The sequence below is a fragment of the Homo sapiens genome, chromosome 3 (assembly GCF_000001405.40).
Source record: "Homo sapiens chromosome 3, GRCh38.p14 Primary Assembly".
Lineage (NCBI taxonomy): Eukaryota > Metazoa > Chordata > Mammalia > Primates > Hominidae > Homo > Homo sapiens.
In genome coordinates, this window is record NC_000003.12 from 24,818,752 (window position 1) to 24,838,329 (window position 19,578).

The window sequence follows — 19,578 nt, forward strand, 5'->3', positions numbered from 1 at the left end:
TTTCACATCCTGGATCACCAATCTCTCCCTTTTCAAATCACTGAGACCATTAATCCTGTAAGTTCCATTTTCCTGCCATTGAGAAAGCTGAAGTGTCATTGGAGTGATCACAGGGCTCACTTCTTGTGTTCCTCTTCTTTCAAGGTCTATAATTTTGTCCAGCCTATTGATTAATTCCTGCAAATGATGGCTTCATATATTTATTACCATTTTATAATTCCTTTAGGTCAGAGGTCCTCATCTGGTTACTCTGTCATAGTTAAAATATGAAGTCATTTTCAAATAGATATTTTAAACCAGCTTTCTGTAACATTTCTGTACTTCTCTAACAGTAAAATCAGATAGCATGCTAACATTTTTTAATAACCCTGTTGGAAACAAGCAAAAACCTAATAACAAGGAAAAACCTAATAACCCCCAATAAACACACACGTCATATGTATTTCAAAAAAGAGACGTTTCTTATTTTTTCTTTCTGGGTATAACACATATTAACTCTCTTTTGATAAAAACAGATTAATATACTTGTGCTTCACAATTTGATTAATGCTAATATTTTATATTTATACACATACAAAAATAGAAATATGTCATGGGGAGTCTATATACTTATATTTATGTGCTATGTTATACATTATGTTGTAAAATATGTATTTCTTTAGAGAAGAAGAGGAACTCAATTATTCTGATATTTTAGCAAATCACTTCTGTATAGAGTTTAAAAATTATGTGTAATTCAGATAGAGACCATTGTTTCTTAAAGACAAGCTTCAACTTACCAATCAATTTCCACCAGGACCTTTGCTTTCAGTAGACAAAAACTCAATAAATGACTTTGCCATTAATATTTCTGTTTATATAATAGAATAGCAATCTACTGAAAATTTACAACTATACTAAAAATCCAGAATGTGGCATCTCGGGTATTATAACTAAAATTTAAATAAGAATATCACTTGAAGGGGTTTTAAAAGTATTTACAACATATTTTATAGATTGTTGCTAAGAGGTTTACACAATTCATCTTACAGGTGTAGACACATTAATGAATGTGAGGGTATTAATTTTCCTCTAGCATTTAAAATTTATTATTAGCTTGGTTTGGCAGTGAGAAGTTAAAAGGGCTTCAAGGTCCACATGAAATGGTTTTTAAGTGCATTGGGAATGATGAGTTACATTAATTTTAGATTCACCAAGTTCTTTTACAGGCTCTGTGTTGTCAATGTTAAAGTTTTTAAATCAGAATTTCCTTTGATGAATGCCTCACTGAAACACAAAAAAAGCTAAAACAGGTATTTAACAAACAAGAAAATATATTAGGCCAGTAAACTTCTGATATTTTAGCAAATCAAAAGTGCAATATTTTAAACATTCCCATCAATAATTAGGTATGTGCAAAATAAAACCATAATGAGGTATTACCTGCCCAACAGATAGACAAAAAATTTTTTAAAGTTTAACAATACCAAATGTTGGCTGGGGCGTGAAGCAACAAAAAACTTTAATAAACTACTTCAGTGAGTGTAAATTGGTGCAATCACTTTGGAAAACAATCGGGCATTTTTTAGTAAAATTGACTGTATACTTACCCTACAACCTTGCAAATCTACTCAAAATATACACTCTCAGATGGTGGTGGGTACTAACATCATGATACGTAAACAAGCTCAGTGATAGCAGCATTGTTTGCAATAGACAAAAACTGGGAACAATTCAGTATCTATCCACAGCATAATGAATATGGAAATTGTGTTATATTCATATATTGAAATAATATATTACAACAAAATTAAGTGCAACTACTCAAAAGAACATGGATTAATTTCTCAAACATAACATGGAGTGAGAGAAGGGAAACAGTCTTAAAATAATACATACTGTGTTATTCATATAAAACTCCAAAGAGTCAAACCAAACTATATTGTTTAGGAATACATCAGTGGAAAACTTAGAGAAAAAAAAAATACTGTACTGTAGAGTATTTTAGAAGTCAGGAGAGTGATTACTACCAAGGAAGAGGACAGAGAATTGAAGAATGGTATGCTGAGGCTTCTGGGTGGCTGGCTGATATTTCCAGTGGTGTTTCTTAATAACAACTCATTATACTCTACATTCATGTGTTGTATCAATTTCTGTAAATATGTTATCTTTCATAATAAAATGTTTTAAATATATCTATGAGTCAATATAAATTATGAGAAATAAAGAAAAAGAGAAAATGGATAAAAGAATGTTAAAAATATTTTATGATACTTTAGTCTATAAGTAGAATACACTCAACTCAGAATAATTGTAACAATGATATATTATTTTATAAAGCAAGAAATCTGGAAATATGATGGCTCCAAGTTAGATTAATATAGAAGCCCAGCGATGTCATCAAGGACATAGTTTTTCTTCCTCTTTCTACTCTATATTTTTCATCATATTACATTATCTTATTGTTACAGGATGGTTGTCACAAATGCAGAGCAGTGTATCCCTCTTTTTTTTAAGGAAAAGGACCATTTCCCTCTGTTCGTGCACACTCACTCACACACAGACACACACGTTTCCCTTGACTCCTTGACTGAACTTGCATCCCATGTTCCTGCCCCAATGCAGAAAAGGGGCCACCATGACTGACTTAGAACAATAACGTTTTACCCAGTGTAGGGCTTGGCCTCCTGCCGCATCTGAAGCACAGTTTTGAGGAGTGCAGATAATGAAACAAAATCAAGGATCAGTTAGACAGCATGAAGGCATACAAATGTTGTCTCTTACAAATTTTAAAATACAGACAATTTCTCTAAAATACTTGAGCCTTCAGTTCAATTCATGATTAGAGTATTAATTAGTATTACCAAAAATGTCCCATACCCAAGCATTTCCTAATGTACCTTATTAATTTAAAAAAGTAAATTAGCATCATATAAATGCTGTATTACCCAAAGAAGAAACAGAACCAGATTATATCAAAATCTAAATGCTCCAAAAGAAGGAAGAATCTCTATAGAATTTCAAGAGAAAATACTTTTTATGTCTAATTATATGTATTCCTGGTTAGGTCATTTTTTTATGGTCAGTGCTAACAAAAAGATAGTGTCAGGTATGCATAGACTAACAAATAATACCACCCCAAGAATTTTAATGAAAAATAAATTGCTTGAAAGGGTTTTCCTGGTTTTAAGTCATGAAGGAAAAAAAAAAAATCAAACAAAAACCTAACTGTCATAGTATTCAAAATGGTATTGAGTTGTGACACCCTAAAATTTAGACTCAGTTCTTCCCTAACAGGGTTATTGAGTATCTTTTTTATTTTTTTTAAATACAGGGTCTCACTCAATCACCCAGGCTAGAGAGCAGTGGCCTAATCATAGCTCACTACAACCTTGAAACCTCGAATTCCTGCACTCAAGTAATCCTCCCATTTCAACCTCCTGAGTAGTCAGTGCTGCAGATGTGTGCCCTACACCTGGCTAATTTTTTAATTTTTTTTTTTGTGGAGACAGGGTATCACTATATTGCCCAGGCTGGTCTTGAACTCCTGGCCTCAAGTCATCCTCCCACCTCAGCCTTTCAAAGTGTTGGGATTACAGGCTCTGGCTACTTTTGTGAGTATTAAAGGAGGAAAAATACATATAAAATATATAGCTCATTTACAGGAGGAGGGGAGCAACTTCATAAATATTAGTTATTTTGATAATTGTTAATATTTCCTGCCCCAACCCTAGAATCAGTCATTTCTCCAAGAAGCCTTGGTTCTGTTTATTGGAGAATGGTATTAGAAACCAAGATCTGGATGCTAAGTGTGTTCATTGCTACTGGACCGTCTTTTCTTCTAGGACCATTCAGTTGACAGAGCAAGAAGATATACACATGTACACTAACCAGTATATATCAACATTTCTATAAGTATTTCTATACATAACCATCTCTCTGTATATTAAGCTTAACATGAGTTTATATGGATGTTTCAAACTGTAACCTATTATCTCATGGATTCTTCCAGCATCCTCTTTGTTTATCTGTTAGCTCCCACTGTGACAGTGGGAAACCTATCTCTTACAATCTGCCAATCTAACATGTACTTAATTGTTCAGTTCCAGTATGCATGCATAGCAGCACCAGAATTAACTAGTACTGTATTTGTGTGATTTTTTTTTTTTTTTTGAGACAGAGTTTTGCTCTTGTTGCACAGGCTGGAGTGCAATGGCACAATCTCGGCTCACCACAACCTCTGCCTGCCGGATTCAAGGAATTCTCATGCCTCAGCCTCCTGAGTAGCTGGGATTACAGGCATGTGCCACCATGCCCAGCTAATTTTGTACTTTTAGTAGAGACAGGGTTTCTCCATGTTGGTCAGGCTGGTGTCGAACTCCTGACCTCAGGTGATACACCCTCCTCAGCCTCCCAAAGTGCTGGGATTACAGGCATGAATCACTGCACCTGGCCTATATGTATGATTTTTAAACCTGATAGAGATGTTAAATACACTTCTTGAAGAGCATGCACAGATTTCAAAAATTAATAGTACTATATATCTGGATGTCATATTTCTCTATTTTTAAATTTTTGGGGGGATATTTTGGGGGGAAGAAGATAAAGACATACAAAATTATCATCTCTCACAAGAGGCAATAGAGAAACAAGAGACAACTAGAGAAAAAGAAGGGGGCTACTTAATCTTTCTAGTGAGAAATAGGAACTTACAAAAGTAAAACAATATTTAAATTCCAAAACTGTCCTATATACCATATCGATACATACAATTTTAATTAAAATTCCTGAAGGATTATTTTTTCAGCAAACTACAGCTAAAGTTTTAAAGTTCGTCTAAGAGAAAATGTCATTATAATTGTGAAGGCAAATAAAAAATATGTAGCGTTTTGGAATATGCCAATTGTGAAGAATTACCACCTTCATTTATGTAAGAGTTTATGCAATCTGCAATTATGGCCCTAAATCTACAGTGGGCTGGGAGGGCTGTGTCTTGTTCATCTTTGTGATAATAGCCCCTAATGCACAGTGAGCAGTCGGTGAACATTAAATTGAAGATGACCTTCCTTCACTTCTAATTTAAGAGGTGAATTATTTATTCAAAACTTTATATAAAATCTAGAGTATTGTCCTGTGAATACACATATTGGCATATATACCTAGTTTTGAGTCACTGTAGGTTTGTGATGAAATCTACTCCTAAGGTTATGTAAATTAGTGAAGGCCAAAAGTGTATTTGTGTGTTGGTTTTACAGAGCATTAAGTACTTCACAGAGAGACTTGATTTAGTTGTAGACAGATGTCTGAGAGGCTGTGACGAAGGGAGAAAAGATACTTAAAGTGGAAGCATGAGGTTTTGAATACAGTCTTTTAAACTGAAGTTAAGTCCCCTCTATAACTGTAATAGAAATCAGCTATGCAACTAGCATACAATTTATAGAAATGTGATGAAATGTTCATATATATCTTTTTGTTTTAATTGAAGTTGACTTAATTTCTCAACTTTCTTGAAAGCTAAAAAAACAGACACAAGAACTTTCTTTGTGCTAACTAAATATTTGGATGTTTTACACAAACGCATATTTTATTATGCTACTACTGCAACCTGGAATATTACCTACATATTTTAATTGATCTTAATAATTTATGTATACATGAAATATTAGTTTACATTTGAAAATTTCTCTTCCAAAACAGCTGTTCAGTTCAGAAAAATTGAACAAGAATATTTATGAATATAAAATTTCATGAGTCAATTGTATTAAACACATTGTATACCCTCCATAAATCCTGATTTTCTCAGTAGATTCACATTTTTCCCATCACTGACATTAATTTCCTGAAAACTGAGCCTTTAAGAAATAATTTGAAATGGGAGGGGAAAAGTTTTTTTTTTTTTTTAAGTGAGCAGTTGGAGCCAGATCTTATAATTTTTTTCAAAGAAATTCTAGTCTTTGGGGAATCAGTAGTTCAACCCCCTTGCAAGACGTTGAATTCTAAGGCCATGGTCAGTCAATAAGTTTTGGCAACCTATATTAAATTATTTTTGGAAAGCTTCTCATGGATAATAATATGACACTAACTGATGCCCTAAAAAGCGATATCAGTAGGGGGAAAGGGTAACCGTGAGTTACTCACAGGTGATGGATTGATTTTATGATCATCAAGGAAATCAGGTGAGAGTTTGTTGGGGAGTGAGAATGAAAGTGGAAAACATCTTTATGGCATTCCAGTAAACCACAAACCATTCCACTTTTACCTCCATGATTGATGATGCCACTGAAAACCCTCCATGGGACGACTGCACTTCCTTGAATCTCAAATTGTAGACCATTCATTATGCTATATATTTTCCACCCTGACCTGATATTGATGTACACTGTGTTTAATGAATCATATTTATCACCCTGTTTCAGCACAGGATGTACTGTGTATCTGATCTTAGACTCATGGTCCAAGTGGGAAACGGAGCAAGTGAAGTGTGGGAATAGAATCTAACAAGAGGGCAGGTTAGGAAGTGCCAGACAGGATGGAGGAAGAGATAGAAAACTTGAGCTGGAATCTCTAACTGGGACAGAACAGAGCATTCCAAACACTGGTGAAAATGAACAGTGGACTCCTGCCATCTGTATGATGGCAAAATGACAATATCTTCAAAACCAGATTCTCCTAGCTTCAGATTATTATCCAAATCTGCTCTCAGTTAATGATAGAAACAGTTTCCCAAAGTGTTGAACCAACGTGCATATACCCAGGGCCAAACATTCCCACCAAAATAAAAGCAACGTATTTAAATAGATATTTTGAAGGAAATTACAGATGAAAAGTGAGAAGAAGCTAGTCTATGAATATTTCTAAGCTGGTCATTTTCCTCAAAATAAAGCAAAATAATTAGACTTATACATGATGTTTAGCCACGCATAGTTATATGATAGCTTTTCCTTTGTGCCTTGCTAACATTTTTAATATTTCAGGGCACATGATGGTTGGGTAGGACTAGCCATGCCAGGCCACAGCCATCCCAGTAAACATTGGTATGGAGGCTCACCTAAGGTAGGGAAAGTTACTTGAGGACACATCATGGGAGGCAGCCAGGAGTAAACAATTTCAAATATAACCAATTTATTGTACAAACTGAAGCATAAACATGAAACTATTATATTTTTCTGAAACCTCTGTCTCAAATGCATTATGTCCATTTTTCTTTTTCCATAAGGTAGAAGACCCCTTAACGAGACCTTGGGCAGATTTCATAATTTCTGGTTAACTTTCAGTTACTCAGTTTCAACTGTTAAAAATCCATCAAGTTTAAATTTACATTTCCAGTTTTGTCTCCAACCAGAGCTCTCTTTTCCTGATCACAGACCAGTCTTGAGCTTAAGGAGCCTTTGCTGAGAAGTAAACAAGCTTGTTCTTACTCCTCTTTTCAAATCAGCACAAAGGATTCCAGGGGAACCCAGGCTTGGTTTGGAGATACCTTTTCCTTCCACTTTCAAGGCATAACTCCCCTTTCCTCTGGTCTTAGGGGAAGGAATGGGAAAAGAGATGGAAGGGCAAATTCCCACTATTTATCTGCACTTGGGTGAGCTGTCATGAATTCTTTGGCTAAGAGGGACTGGTTGTCCATATATTCTTATGCCAGGTATCCAAATGCTGGCTCATGTGGGTGACAAGGTTATGAGGACACTGGAGAGCTGGCCTATATCTCAGTGCTTTGACATGATTTCACATTTTCCAAGCCTCTTTAATTCCCCGGCTATCCCATCATGTAGGACATCCCATAGCCACTGCTTGCTGAGGTTCTCTTTCCCAATGTCAAGCCCTCTTGGGTGGGGTGTTAGCCACTCAGCTCATGCTTGGTACCCAAAATGGAAAACTCACATTTGGCTTTGTCTGAAGTAGACAAAGTCAAGAATCAACTCACATACTATACAATTCTTTTTACAATTTTTTTGTGGTGACATCCCACCTCCCCCAAATTTCTGAGTTCCATTGCTTTCAACTACTAGCAACTTTGCTTTTCTTTTTCTCTGAAAGACTGCCCTCAAGCTACTGGAGCCTACAGATGTGCCAAGAAGTTTATTTCCCCTGGGAGGCTGTTTACCAATAAACTGCCTAGCTCTCTTCATTCAGTGTGGGGCAATTTAGAGGCTTAACTTAAACTCTAGAAGTTCCCTGCAGAATCAAGCCAAGCCCTATCCACTGCTGTGGGACTTTTGGACCCTTGTTCAGCTTCTTCTCCTTTCCTGTTCTGCTGCCCCTGCCACTCTCCCCAATGTTCTTACTGATTTCTCCTATGAGCACTTTCTTAATAAATCACTTGAATCCTTACTCAGGGTCTGTTCCTTTGGAAACTGACCTAAGAAACCTACTCTTGACATACAGTTGGATAAGCATGGAGCTCCCTGCCACATTGTCCCCAATTAATCCTGCCATCTCTTTCCAATTTTCTTTCTAATTTCAAAAGTCTTAGTAGCGGTTAATGTTCTTTTCCTTCCTTTCTCCTCCCATTCTCCTTCTCCTTCCTTCTTTCTTCTTACCTTCTTTCCTCCTGCCTCCTTCTTTCCCTTCTTTTGTTCCTTCATCCTTTCCTTGTCTTTCGTTTCTTTCCTATTCTATATCCTTTCTAGAATAAGCACTGTGGTTCCAGATTTCTAGTCTTTTCTCCCATATATATTACTCTTGGAATTTGGGAAGAGAAGCCAAACTGTTTTGGATTCTTTGATGGACTGATTTTCTTGATAATAATGTTTCTCTTTCATTACTTAAAATGGTAACGCTTTTGGTGCTGAGAGCAGGTTGACATTTTTTGGGAAGGAGGGGAACATGAAGGTGGTAGAGAAGAGGTTTTTTTGAAGGCTCACTTGCTCTGGACACCAGAGTAAGGATTTGACCAGGCTTTCTTGAGGACTGGAACTTCAAACTTCTACATCTGCCCCAAATAAACATTGAAAACCAGAATCAGTTCAAACTTCTACATCTACCCCAAATAAATATTCAAAACCAGAATCAATTCCTAGAGCTAGCAGTGGAGGTCAAGGCAGTGTCATCATTTTCTTCCCTGGCAATAGATCATCAATTCCCCCAGTACAGACAGTCCCTAACTTAAGATGGTTCAACTTACGGTTTTTAAATTTTTTGACTTTACGATAGTGCTAAAGCAGTAGGATACTCCTGAGAGAGAGGCTGAGTGGCAGCAGCAGTGGCAGCCAGCCTTGCAATCACCGGGGTAAACCACCGATATTCTACAGTGTACTGTGTTACCAGATGATCCTGCCCCACTGTAGGCTACCGACTATAAGTGTTCTGACTGGGCTAAGCTCTGATGTTCAGTAGGTTATATGTATTAAATGCATTTTTTATATTCTCAATTTACAATGTATTTATCAGAAGGTAACCCTGGCGCAAGTCTAGGAACATCTGTATGTAATAATGTCCAAAGTTCTGGAAAGTACAGTGGGAAAAAGTGAGAAGGAGAACTCACTACAAATGGTGAGTGAATGGCTAAGTTTTATTTGTTTTCTATAGTTGATGCCTTAGGAAGTTGAAACAAGAAACCTGTACACCAGTTAGATAATTAAAATGGCACATTGGCAGAAGATGGTTTCCCTCGTGTCTCATACATAGCATTTAGGAATGAAAGTGCTCAGCGTCCCAGTGGTTCTCCTTTTGAACTGGCTCATCCATTACTGGGGTAATGATTTTCCGTCTGGGCAACAGCAAAGCCAAAGGCCTATTACACAGGCAACATAAAGTTAAAAAGACATTATGAATAAAACGTTGGCTCATGCCGGCTTTTGCCAAGCCTTCTCCAGAGAAGATTGCCTGATGCCGACACGTGTTTATTACACTTAATAATGTTTACAGAATTCTTCTTTGAGCTCATTAGAGCTGTCAGATCAGAAGTAAATGTATTCCCCCCTCTGTTTATCTCTAAAGACTTCTCAGTCAATAAAGCAAGATGAATGACATCCAGGGCGCAGACAAGTACTCTTGAGCTTCGCAAACACTGCCAAGTTAAACCCTCAGCCAGGGTGGGCTCGTGGGTCTCAGGACTGAGGGAGCATGCATCTCATCAGCCACTTAGTTCTCTTGGCGGTGCTTCTCCAACTTTAATGTGCTTGGAATCTCCCTGAGAGCTTCATAAAATACACAATGCTAGGCCCCCTTCCCAGAGATTTTGGTTCACTAGATCTGGGTTAGGGCCCAGAAATTTGCATTTCTAGCAAGCCCCCAGGTGATGCTGATGCTGCAGGTGCATGTAACCCACTCAGAGTAGTCCTATTCTGGAGTTCATTTTCTTTTGTTGCGGAGGAGGGTGGCGGTACCCCTTGGCAACTTGGGACATCCTGGCTGGCCTGTGGCATGCATCAGCCACAGCGGTGAAGGCGGCAGGGGCAGCAACCAGAGCAGCAGCAGTGGCAGCAGTAGCAGGCGCGGCCGCCGCCGCCTCCGGCTCAGCTCACGCGGAAACCCCACTGGGCCGTCGTGGCTCCGCGCGGTTGCGGGCCAGCGTGGAGAGGCGGGACGTGGCGCCCGGGGGCGGGGCCTGGCGCCAGGGGGCGGGGCGCAGCGAGCCGGGCTCCCGCTGTCTGCTCTCAGCGGCGGCGGCAGGGGCTGAGGGCACAGCCAGCGGGCGGCGCGCCGCGGACTCCAAGGCAGCCCGCCAAAAGGTAAAGCCAGGAGAGCGCGCTGGCGGGTCTTCCTGTTGGGTGGCTGCTGTCCAAGCCCCTAGCGTCCCCGGAGCCCCAAGCTGGGTCTGGAAGACCAGGGCATTTGCATGGCATCCAGGGACCGGCTGCCTAGCAGGGATTTTGCGTGTACCGCGGCGGGGCCGGGGGCTGGGGGTTGGGGGGTCTGCAGCGGGAGCCCGCGACCGATCCCAGGACATCTGGACTCGCGGACAACTTTGCGCAGCAGTCCTCTTCCAAGTTCCCTTTATTGCTATTGTCTTAGCGCCTGTCTGACAGTCTCCCCGGACTCCAGCTTTGTTCTCATTAGGCCAAACCCGCCCTCCCCAGGGGCGTGAACCCAGGAGTCGCTGGCAAGTTGCACCTGCCAGCCGGATCCGCCCCGGCTCCCTTCGCGTCCCTGCCGGGTCCAGCGCTGTCCTGCGCACCTTAGGGCTGGGCACGGCGAAACCTGGCGCCCTTGGGAGCAGAGGTTCTCGCTCCATTCCCCTGTGGGGATCTAAGCTCCAGGCCGGGGTGTCGGACCTCTGGGTTGCAGCATGCTTTGGGGCCGAAGAAAGGGCGAGAAAAAGTTTGAGCATTGGCTGGGCCTAGGGAGCGGGTAGCGCCAGGCTGCACATGGCAGGAGTTGGAGAAGAGTACTAGGGGCTTGGCGCCGGACACAGGGACGCGGCCAGGGACCGAGCCCTGGAGGCTGAGGCTCTAAGCCTGGACTGTCAGCCGCGAAGGGGTTCTTGCTGTGTGCGCGCTTTGGCAGGAAGAGGCTGTGTGTGATTGTAGAGACGATGGGCGGAAAAACAGAGAAGAGAGAGGTACTTGGAATCTATGTAATTGCAGTGTGCCCCAGTGTGCACTTTTCTCCCTCCAGATATTTTGAAAAAGGTGTGCACGCCGATGTCTTGTAGGTGGACTCCCGGAGGTGGGGGTGGGGGTGGGTACGAGGGATAAGTTTTACCTAGAGCTAGAGCTGGCGTTGAAAGTGAACAGGTGACAGAAGACGTGTGTGTGTGTGTGTGTGTGTACGTGCGCGCGCGCCGTGGCTAAGGATGCTCGGGTGCTGGACCGCCCGCTGTGCCTCCACACCCCTCCGCCCCGCCCCCTTCCAGCTCTCAGCGCGGGGTGAGTTTCCCTGACACTCCCCGCCGGAGGCAAGCAGGCAGAGGCGAAGTGATGGTCGCGGAGTGGAACAGACAAAAGGGTGCATTTGGACGACCCTTCCAGGACCAGGCGGCCAGAGTGTGGGGTGTGTGTGTGTGTGTGTGTCTGTCCGTCTGTCTATCTGGAGGGGGTCCCTGTCCTGCCAGTTATGGAGGGACCACTGAGAGAAGAGGAAAGAGGTAGGAGCGGGAGAAAGACAGGTGAGGCGGAGCGGAGGATAAGAAACCGAATGGGAGAGAGTCGAGAGCCGAGATTTAAAAGCATCTTGCCTAATTGGACGCAGATTTATAAATTAATTTTTAAAAGAGGTGCTAGAAGTAGGAGAAGAAGAAGAAAAGAGCCCTGAAGCTAAAATTTTACAGGATGGGGGTGCAATAAGTTTGATTATTTAATAAAGGTATCTTATCGAGCCATGTTAAAGTAAGTCTAAAACCCTCTCTGAAGTTTATTGCTGGTTTTAGATAGCCTCCTTTGACACATCTTTGCAGCACCTACTCCAGAAGTACCTTTTGACAGTCAGAAAGAAGTAAAAGGCATATATACACAAATAAAATGCAGCTAAATGAAGTTTAAATGAAGCTTTGAGCCGGATTAAATGGCTTGTGTAACTGCTGAATGTTGCTAAAGTACTGTCAGGGCTATAAAATAGCCAGACAAAAATAAAGCAAAAAATAATTGTAACAAGAAAATGAAGGCTTTACAAGAACTTCAGTAATGAACACATAACAATTGATGGTATGATGCAGTAATTATTTTCGTATTTACGCCATTAACGATTGTAATTTAACGTTAATGTCCTGGTATTTTATTCCTTCTCATTTGCAGACAAAAGCACATCTGAGACGCCATCAGGGAGTAATTTGGTAATATAAAGTCATGAATAGAAAACACTAAACCATGCTCAGAACTCTGACAACAGAAAGCGTGAAACAAAATAACCTCATTTGCTGTTTATTATCTGTCTTTATAATTCTGTTTACCATCATTTGCATAAATGAATAGCTAAATTGTATAGTATATTCCTTCTTGGACAAAAAAAAATACATGATGCTTATAGATATGGTGGGGGGGAACTAGTAGGTAATTCTTACCTAAAGCATGAAGGAAAAAAAAAAACTGTGGGGTTAGAAACTGTTGCAAATAATCAGAATGCAAATTTAACCTACTTTAGGCATCCTTATTTTATTTAACTTGGCTCAGGTAGCTTTAACAATATATACGTAATTAGGAGATGGACAGACCCTAAACTTCTTTGCTAGCAAATCATAACAAAACTAAATTGAAGAGCTACACATTGTGTGATGAAGCAGTTTTGTTAATCTGAATAACTATTTTTTTCTGTTCAGACTTTCAAAGGTTAAATTTTCTGAAAGTGAGAAGGAAGGAGTTTATTGGAAGAAGTTCAAAACAAAATTATTTCAGCAGAAACTTAAGTTATTAACATCTTAAGACAATCATCAGAGTTCACACATTTTAAAAGTATTGTGCATTGTTTTAACCTTAGGGACATTTGTGAAAACTTCTTTACTCATATGATAAAGGGAAAAAATAATAACTGCTTTAAAAAGGCTCTAAAGTAAAATGCCAGCAAAACAGCTGAGCAAAACATGTGGTTAAGAAGGATCAATCAAGCATATGAATGTTTAAAAATATCTATTTATTATTACCAGGCTCATAAAATATCACAGTGATTGAATATCCCTTTTCCTTCCCATACAAATATGCTGATCTCATGTGGAACAGCACAGTGAAATCAGTATTACCTGAGAATAGATTCCATGTGAGAATAAGGACTTTGTATATATTTCAAGTACAGAGAAAAAAAATTTTTAAGTGGGAAGCAAGCTGTTCATTACAGTGGAGCCTGGTGACTGTGTAAGATTGGGGTAAGTTCTTAGCAGTTAGTTGGCTACAAACTTATTTGTTTATTCATTTATGCAACATGCATTTTTTAAGTACCCATTATTAATGACCAGATATTGTACTATGTATTGGGGATTCAAGGATGAGTTAGACTCATCCCCTGTATTTAGAAAAAATTGAGTCCCAATATATATATATATATATATATAATGTCAATTAAAAATGAAATTCTTAAAATGAGAAAACAGTTATGTGGGAAAATAAATGCAATAACATATGAGAAGTGTCCACCTATCCTAGAACTTGGGAATGAAATAGGCTAGACTCAACTTTCAGCTCTTTTTCTTACTAGTTACGAGAACCTGATCCAGTTATTTAACCTCTCTGAACCTCAGTTTTCTCATCTGATAAATGAGAGAAATAACACTTCCCTAAATCATGGAGTTGTTACAACAATTACATGTCAACATATTTTTAATGTCTTCTATGTTTAAAACAAACTCTGGATCCCATACTTCTCAGCATCCCTTACCTCATTTCTTTTCTCCGTGTCATTGTCAAACTTCTGGTGAGGCTTGTCTGCACATGTTAATCTCCACATGCTAATCTCCACCTCCTCTCTACCTTACTGTCTGTCCTCCTCCAGTGTGGCTTCTGCCTCCACCGCTTATGAAAACAACTTCTCTTGACGTCAGCAGTGACTACTGAGCAGCGATCTGCACTCTTACTCAACTTCTTGAAGCATTGGACAGAGCTGACTCGTCCCTTTTCTGTCATAAGGTATATTCTGTTGGCATCTTTCAGTGACTTTGGTGGCTTCTATGAGACTGTATGCCTTTAATTCTCCTCTTTAGGGTTTATTATTTCCCAGCTGGCTCCACTTTCATGATCTCATCTCTAAATAAAGCTTGGATCTTACCAACACTAGGGCTATATTCTGGCCCATCTTTTTTATATTGCCTTCCTCTTCCCTCCCCAGCTTCCGCTTTAGGTAATATCTTTCATTCTCATGGTTTTAAGTCTTATCCATACAACAATTCAATTTATGTCTCTAATCCATTCCTGGCCTCTGAGCTTCAGCAACATCTATTCAATTGCCCACTTAACGTCTCCATTTGGATGTTTCCCAAGCATATCTAACATTTTACACACAAAATTAAAGGTTATATTATCACTACAAACAACCTCCTAAAATTATTCTCTTTAGTCTTCCTCATTTGGGGAAATGACAGTACCATACTAATTGTTCAGTTCAGAAACTTAGATTTATTCCTTTGCCTCAATTATTTCTTAATTCATCATGTACATTGTGTCCAAGGTAGGCATGTGCCTGATACCCACAGGTAGACCTGCCAGTATTGGTGGATTATAGTCTGCATTTGTTCTGATTGGCCAGTGCTCTAGCCATACCAGTTGATAAGTATTTTGGACTAATACCCCTGCTCATATCTCACCTTTGTTCACCTCTATCATAACCCCTAGTGTCCAGGCCGATATCACCTTTCACCTATTATTTTTGTCCTGACATGATAGATGTGTGTGACTAGTATCACTATTTAAAGATAAACTGATTTGCTATATTTTGCAGATTATATAAGTTTCACACAATCTAATGTTAGGAGGTTGAACATCAATTAAGAAAGAGCTTATACCTTTCATGGTAACTCACCAATTCAATACTAAGAGGTTGGATATGTTCCAAGGTAGAAGTCCTTTGTGAGCTGAGAAATATGCTTGGTGGATCCCACGCTAAAGCGACAGATTATGGAATTTCACTTTTGCCAAATTTGGAACACAGTACTATGTTTGATTGTTAATTTTAGGAAAATGAAATCAGATTAATTTCTACCACTAAAAAAGAGCAAATTTAAATAATCATAATCTTGAATAGCCTGTTTTTTTCTCTTGGCCAGCACAGTACATATAATAAAAAACCTAGAAATACATTTAAGAGACTGAGAATCAAGCATGTTCAATGTTGTATACAGATTTTTTTGACAAAAAATAAAAATGAAAGCAAAATATTTGAGTGAGAAGTATCATCAATGTCAACCCCAGAACTGTTGTAGCAGGCTTCCCCTCTTTCACTAGGAAGCCACTGTTCTGAGCATAACCGGCATCCTTGAGTTCACTTCACTTTGTATGTGGTACATCTGAGACGTGGAAGGTTTTACCTCTCTCAAAAGAGCAGTGATGACGTCAATGTAATCATGTAAACAAGAGTCAAGTGATCATTCAGTGGTATCATTGGACTCGAAGGTCAAGAAAAATCTAAGTCTCAATTTTCTAGGGATAGAAGCAGTTTTATTCACAAAAGAGTAACAGGACTGCAAGAAGAATTTGTTCAATTGTAAGCCCACTTTATATTCTCTGTTAGTCTTTTTGTGCTGATCCTGGCTTTTGCTTTTGCATTGCTCTGGGCTGTAGAACCAGTCTCATAGTAACTTTCCCTTTTCCTTTTATTTCTTCCTTTCCTTTTTCCTTTTTTTCCCCTATTTATTTCTTTCATCGTCTTCAGTTCTTCCTTTTTCTTTCTTCACTTTCTGCTGTGCCTTTCCATTCTCTCTTCCCTTCTTCTGTCCCTTATCCTTTTAAATTGTCTTTCTTCATCACTCTTATATAAGCAAAAACAAACAAAATAAAAATATATGTGTGAGTTTTGCCCTGGCTGTTTCCACCATTATCGGATTTAATCTACAGCATTGCTTTTGCCTTTTGTACTTGGTGGTCTTTGCATTCATCATGTCAAACTTATATCAAGAAGTTTAAACTCTTGTCTCAGTTTCACCTATGCCAATAAGTAAACATAGAAAAGATGGAAGAAAGAGAACTGATGAAATGTGTCTGTGGATCCATGCTACCATGCTCTAGAATGCCCCTTTTCCAATACTGTTGTTTTTACAAGCAGGTGGCAGAAAGGTAGCAAGCCAAGCAAATAACTTCCTGAATTCAGGTACCATTTTGGAAGATTCATGTCCATCTTCACAGGGATGGTGAAAATTAGAGTAATGGCTTTTAAATGATGATTACTAATATTGATTGAGTGCTCTGTATGTGCCAGACTCTGTACTAAAAGTTCGGCACATGTTATTGCATTTATTACTCACACCCAGTAGGCTAATATTATAGGGTAAAGAAACAGCCTTAACAAGGTTAAATGACTGGAACAAAGGTTGCAGAACCAAAAGCATGGGAGTGGCAATTCAGATCCTCTTAACTGCTGTTCTTTATTCTGTAGTCTGTAGTAGGGCACCTCCCCAGTAACAGCCAGGTTCTATATCTATGAATATATTCATAATGATAGAGCGCTGTCGAGATGCCCAGAAGCCACAGTATCTACATTAATATGGACACACCTCAAAGAAACAGTGGGTGGTGAAAGTTGCATTCATTGGCCCCGGGGGCCCAAGTTATATAGGTCAGTTGAGTCCATCTTAAGGTTAGATCCTTCACAAGAAAGCATGATAGAGGCAATTCACCACAGACTGTCTCTTCAACGTGGTTACTGGGGAAGCCTGAAAACAAGTGGGATTTTCAGTCTGGGATGACCTAAGCATCATGGGCTTTGGAAAAGACTTGAGTGGCTCTGCAAATGCTCTGTGTTCTCTTTCAGGACAATGCACTTTAACATTTTTAGGTAAGCATGGTATAGTTTGTCTTTTGAGAGAGTGAATGTGGATAATGCTAGATCTGAGCAGAAGAGAAATAAGATAGCATTGTGTAAAGGAAATGAACCTTGACCACCAAGGAATGAGCAAAGCAAAATCTCCTCTTTTGTGAATGGAGGCAATTGGAATTAGGTCTGTAATTATTTGCAGCAGCAATGTCCCAGGATCCTATACGTGGCAAGGGACTGGATATAAGAGAGGACAGCTGGCAATCAGTGCTGTGTGTCTTTTAAGAGTTTCAAATATGACTCCTGTTTTCTAGCAAAGTTTGTTCAAGAACCTAGTTTGAATTACATGAAAACACTGGCAGTCAAAAAACATGAGAGTATTCCAACAGCTTCATGACTGGAGATCCTGTTTCTACCCTTGCCTCACATAATAGCTACATTGGCCTTAATAAAATGTTAATCAGAATATGACATTTATTGTGTCAGCATCCTCCAAATGGCTTCCCATCTCACTCTTACTAGAAGCCCAAGACCTTACAGTGTCCTACCAAGCTCTTTATGATCTGGCCCCTGTTATCTCTCTGACCTCATCCTTGGCCTCCTTTGTTGAATAAATCAATAAATGAATGAGTAAATGATTCTTGAGCGAGACAGGGAATATCCAGGGTGCTCAATAGTGTTTGTTGAATAAATGCACAAGGAGAGGATTTACCGTTTTAATGAAGATACTTTGGAAAAATTCACGTTAGGAAAAAGAGGGACAGAAACAAATTAGAGAATGTGAATAACGGTAGTATATCGGAACTTCTGGATGCTGACCTAGATTTTTTATCATTTATATATGTATTTATTTCATAAGTATTTATTGAGCATCTACCAGTCTAAAGGTTGGATGTCCATCAATAAACAGGAAGGCAAATTCACCAGCCCCTTGGGGCTGACGTTCTGTTGGGAGACATATATCACAATAAATTAGACAAATAATATGATAATTTCAGATAGCAATATGTCCTATGAAGAAAACCTTATCATATAGTTTACCTCTTTGACCTTATCCATTGGCCTCCTTTGTTGAATGGATGAATGACTTGAGTTAGCCAAGTAATATCCAAGGTGGAGAATACTTTACTTGCAGATCCCACATCTTCCTGGTATTAAACCATGAATAATGTGGTCATCTGCAACTGGTAGAGATCACAGAGGTGAGTAAAGTTTAAACAGTCTTGTGTTGAATGAATATATAGTCTTGTCTTCTTTAAGATTTTTCCACTAGTGAAATAAGGCTTAGTACTAAAATATTGTTTGAAAAACAGAGTTTGACAAAGAAGATCCCAAATTGATGGCTTCTGTAAATGTGTTCTGCGTTTAATTTGAGAACTGTATTAAATGTTTCACTGTTACAATGACAATTGTGGTTTTCTTTTGATAATTTAATAAAGAAGTAAAACTTAGAGTAGATAGCTTTTTGCTTGCTTCACATATGAATATATTCAATGTTACAGTTAAAAGAGATAGTGCTGAAACATTTAAATTGAAGAGGTTCAGATTCTATGTGATTTTCACAGTACTCAGTTTATTTTCTCAGTACTGATTTTGGCCCTTTTATTTTCTCTTTGTGTTAATTTTGTTATGGCACAGATCGAAAACTAGTACAGGCTCTAAATCACCAGAATTGGCTTGGAAACATAAATGATTAATGACAAAGTCACACCAAAAAGGAAACAGTGATTGCTGTGAATGAAGCATTCTGAGGTTTTCTGATATTACTCATTAGGGTCACCAGTGGCCATGAAGCCTGTATTAGTTTTCTATCACTGCCTTAACACATTAACACAAAATTCGTGGCTGAAAACATCACACATTCACTATATCACCATTTCCGTAAGTCAGAAGTCCAGACAGGCTTACCAGGCCAAAAATCAAGGCATCAGCTACCCTGAACTTTTATGTAGAGGTTTAAGAGAAGATTTTGCCTTCAGATTTGTTCAAGTTGTTGGCAGAATTCAGTTCCATGTGGTTCTAAGACTAAAGTCCCTATTTCCTTGCTGGCTGTCCGCTGGGGATCATTCTCAACTTTTAGAGCCATTCTTTGGCTCTATCTTTCTTCAAAGTCAGCAACAGTGAGTCCTTGTACTTCCAATTTCTCTGACTTCCACTTTTCCTACATCTCTTCTACTTGCAGCCAGAGAAATTTCTCAGCTTTTTGAAGGCTTGTGTGATTAGATAATCCAGGATAATATCTCCTTTTTTAAGGTCAATTGATGAGTAACT

General features: G+C 39.0%; 1 protein-coding gene across 1 annotated transcript in view; it reads left to right on the forward strand.

Moving 5' to 3' along the window:
* RARB (retinoic acid receptor beta) overlaps positions 10,570-19,578 on the forward strand; it is a 768,612-nt gene continuing 759,603 nt past the window's right edge. Inside the window, exon 1 of the mRNA NM_001290216.3 lies at positions 10,570-10,652. The gene's annotated coding sequence lies outside the window, so the exon portion shown is untranslated. The remainder of the gene's footprint in view (positions 10,653-19,578) is intronic.